Below are 3,767 nucleotides of genomic sequence, written 5' to 3' on the forward strand. Positions count from 1 at the left end.
AGCCTCGGCCTTTGGGGGGCCTCACTTGTATCAGTAGAGGGGATCAGAGGCCCCATCTGGCCAGGCACTGCCCACAACGTGCTATGACACCTTCTGTCAATCACCTGCCGCCCAGGCTTCAGTCTGCTCCTCAGTTAAATAAAGGATGTGGCCATAAAAGATCTCGAAGGCAGTCCCCTGCCCTGACAGGCAGAGGGCTCTGGGTGGCCTCTGTCAGATGGCAGGTTGGGGACTTCCTCATTCATTTGTTCAGCAAATATTTACCAAGCACCTACTGTGTGCCAGGCAGCAGGGTGCAGCTGGGCTTTCTATCTCTGCTTATACCGAGGAGACTCCAGGTGCAGGGGTGTGTGCAGCATGTTAGGCTGTGACTTCCTCAGAGTCTGACATGCACAGAGGTGAAACAAGCCAGTGCTCACACCGACCACACATTTTAAAAGCCAGCCCAGCACTGAGGCTTACCACCACCCCCAGGGGGGGAAGTGCCAGCCTAGGCAGGGCTCCTGTGGCTGGGGGCAGCCTGGCTTTGCCCACCCAGCCCCAGCAGTCAGCAGGACATGGGCAGATCCAGGAAGACCTGCAGGATGATGGAATCCACAGATTCAGATGGCCAAAACCAAGCTGACCACAGATAACAGAATGGATGGGCCAGGAAGATGCATTTGACCCTGTTGGGGCTCAGAAAACAATACCCTGAAGCATGGGGCTTTGGCATGCTGAGAACTTTGAAATGAAGGAAACTGGAAGGTCACAGACGCAAGTTCTTTCTGATCTTCTCCTGCCCTCCCATCTCCTTTTCCTCTTTCTTCCCTGAAGCAAGTCATAGGAACCATAATTCAGCTTCCCCAGGATGCATCCTAGAAACTACAATCCCTCTCCCCCAAAGCAAGCCATAAAACCTAGAAAGGTCATTCTCTCCCTTCTCCTGTCTCCCTCATTCCAAAATAGTCCTGCCCTATACCTAGGAGCCAAAATGAGTGATTGAAGCATAAGTCTCAGATCACTGAAGTTTATGGAGCCAGCTTGGGGGATGCACCTGGGAAAAACACGAGTCACAGATGCATCTGTGGCTCTTTCTTCCAAAGACGTTCTCAGGAGGTTTTGTATTTATACATTTTCCTTAAAAAGTATGGGGCGGATGGCAGTGAGCTGAATGATTACATACTTGTGTATGTGCCCAGTAAATCTACATTTTATGTAAGATAAAGTGAATATTGGAAGAAAATGGGAATAGAGGAAGCATATGTCTCAGGGAGGGGTGAAGGGATGATCAATCTCATTTTATCTTTGTTCTGTACCTGGGAAGATAAGCAAGTAATCAACATTATCAATGTGGAGGCTTTTGAAAGGGCTGGTTTCTGTTTACTCCTTAGAAAAGAAAGCTTAATGATAGTTAGCAAGGAAGGGGATAAAAAATTGAGGCGAGTCTGACCTCCCATCCCATAATAAGGCATGTCTGACTTCCCATCCTGTCATCGTCATGAAATCAGCTTTCAAGGATTCTTTCGAGTCCCGTTGGCCAAGAGAGGGCCCGTTCAGTCATTTGGGGGCTTAGAATTTTATTTTTATTTCTCATAAAAAGGCTGCACAGAGAGGCTAAGAATCTGAACACACAGGCCTACGGGGTTCCCCATTCTGCCTATTATTGTTACCAGAAAGGGGTCCCAATCCAGACCCCAAAAGAAGGTCCTTGGATCTCAGGCAAGAAAGAGTTTGGGGCAAATCCCTAAAGTGAAAGCAAGTTTTTTAGAGAAGTAAAAAAGCAAAAGAATGGCTACTCCATAGGCAGAGCAGCGGCACAGGCTGCTTGACTGAATATTTTTATATTTATTTCTTGATTATATGCTAAACAAGGGGTGGGTTATTCTCATCCTGTGATTAAGAATGCCTGACCTTCTGGGAATGCGGCCCAGCAGGTCTCACCCTTATTTTACCTGGCCCCTATTCAAGATGGAGTCACTCTGGTTGCAACACCTCTGACATTACCATTAGATCATACCCTTTGTCCAACCACATTTCATACAATTGTCCATTCTTCCTCAAATCTAAGCATACAGACAGACGGTTTGCACTGGGTGTTTGCGTCTTCATTTCCGAAAGCTTCCATGTCACATAAGAATTTGATTACATAGATTTGTTGTTTTTTTCTTGTTAACCTGTCTTTTGCTATAGGAGGGTTGGCAGTGACCCGTATTGTTAGTGGTGGAAGGTATCTGAGTTACTGGCAGTGAATCCACACACGTCTGCAGCAACTTCAATTCTTGCCTCCGCAGAAGAAAGAATTTGACTGACGGGCATAAGGCAGAAAGACAGAGGCGAGTTTCAGAGCAGGAGTGGAAGTTTATTAAATAGCTTTACAGCAGAAAAGAGGGTATGCTTGGGAGAGTCCCAAGCTGGCGACTTGAAGAACAATTGTGGTGTTTAACCTTGCTCCTAGGACTTTATAGGCTGGCCCCTTTCCCATGATTCTTCCCTTAGGGTGGGTTGCCTGCATGTGCAGTGTCCCCCTTATGCTTGGGAGGTGAGCACGCACAGTGTGTTTGGGAAGTTGTACACATGCCTATCTGAGGCTTTCTTCCCTTTTCTGGTGAAGTGCCCCTGGAAGGTCATACTCTGCCATTTTGTCTCTTAATGCACATGCCCAGGAAGTTGCTTCTCCCCAGCATCTGCATTCAATGAACATTTGAGTGCAACAGGTGTGGACCATCAGGAAATGGCCCCTCCCTGGCACCAGCCGCCAATTTATCACTTTTAGAGAGGCAATGTGATAATTGCTTAATTATCACCTGACATTCCTAGTGGGTGGGGGAAGAGCCCTCTCCTGCCCCACTCATGCCTGTCTACCTACTGTAACATTATGATGGGGTCACATAAGGTTTCTGCCCCTACAATCCCAGCAGAAATAAAGACAAAGGGGCAGTGTGAAGCAGACACACAGAGTGAGGTTCGGAGTGGAAGTGTAACAGGTGAAAGAAAGAGAAGAGCTCTCTCTGCTGCAGAGAGAGGGGTCTTGGAGAAATGAGTTGCTGGTTCCATGATGCAATGCAGCAAGTTTTATAGATGAGCTTGAGGAGGTGGTGTCTGATTTACATAGGGCATGAAAGATTGGTCAGACCAGGTGTTCTATTTGCATAGCATGCAAAAATCTGGCCACCCCCCCGAATCTTTTGTTATGCAGGTGGGTTCTCTGCATCTGGTGCCATGTTGCCTGCTTCCTTACTGTACACGTGGTGACAAACAAAAGGGAAAATGGTGCCTCTATGTTGAACATACCTGGCTTCCAGGTAGCCCTTTTCTATTGGCACAACTGCAGCATTCACTCCTGCATGGTTATCTATGTCTGCAGCTCAATTTTTCTGGCTGCTTTTTGCTAGAAAAGAAATTATTGGCCAGGTGTGGTGGCTCACGTCTGTAATCCCAGCATTTTGGGAAGCTGAGGTGGGTGGATGGCTTGAGGTCAGCAGTTCGAAACCAGACTGGCCAACGTGGCAAAACCCCGTCTCTACTAAAAATACAAAAATCAGCCGGGCATGGTGGTGCACGCCTGTAATCCCAGCTACTCGGGAGGCTGAGGCCTGAGAATCACTTGAACCTGGGAGGCAGAGGTGGAGGTTGCAGTGAGCCAAGGTTGTACCATTGCACTCCAGCCTGGGCAACAGAATAAGACTCGTCTCAAAAAAAGAAAAAAGAAAATAAATTATTTTAGGGCTGCTTTTTGTTAAAAGGGAAGGCTTGCTGAGGACTCTGTTGCCCTTACTATCTGCCTA

At 47.5% G+C, this 3,767-nt stretch overlaps 1 annotated feature.

The window, feature by feature from the left end:
- Nucleotides 314-813: an enhancer, noted in NCBI's record as "H3K4me1 hESC enhancer chr18:33328223-33328722 (GRCh37/hg19 assembly coordinates)". NCBI's record gives its function as "activates a minimal SCP1, AML or CMV promoter by ChIP-STARR-seq in primed H9 embryonic stem cells {active_cell/tissue: H9 hESC(primed)}" and the evidence as "EXISTENCE:reporter gene assay evidence [ECO:0000049][PMID:30033119]".

Source organism: Homo sapiens, chromosome 18 (assembly GCF_000001405.40).
Source record: "Homo sapiens chromosome 18, GRCh38.p14 Primary Assembly".
In the NCBI taxonomy this organism is placed as follows: Eukaryota; Metazoa; Chordata; class Mammalia; order Primates; family Hominidae; genus Homo; species Homo sapiens.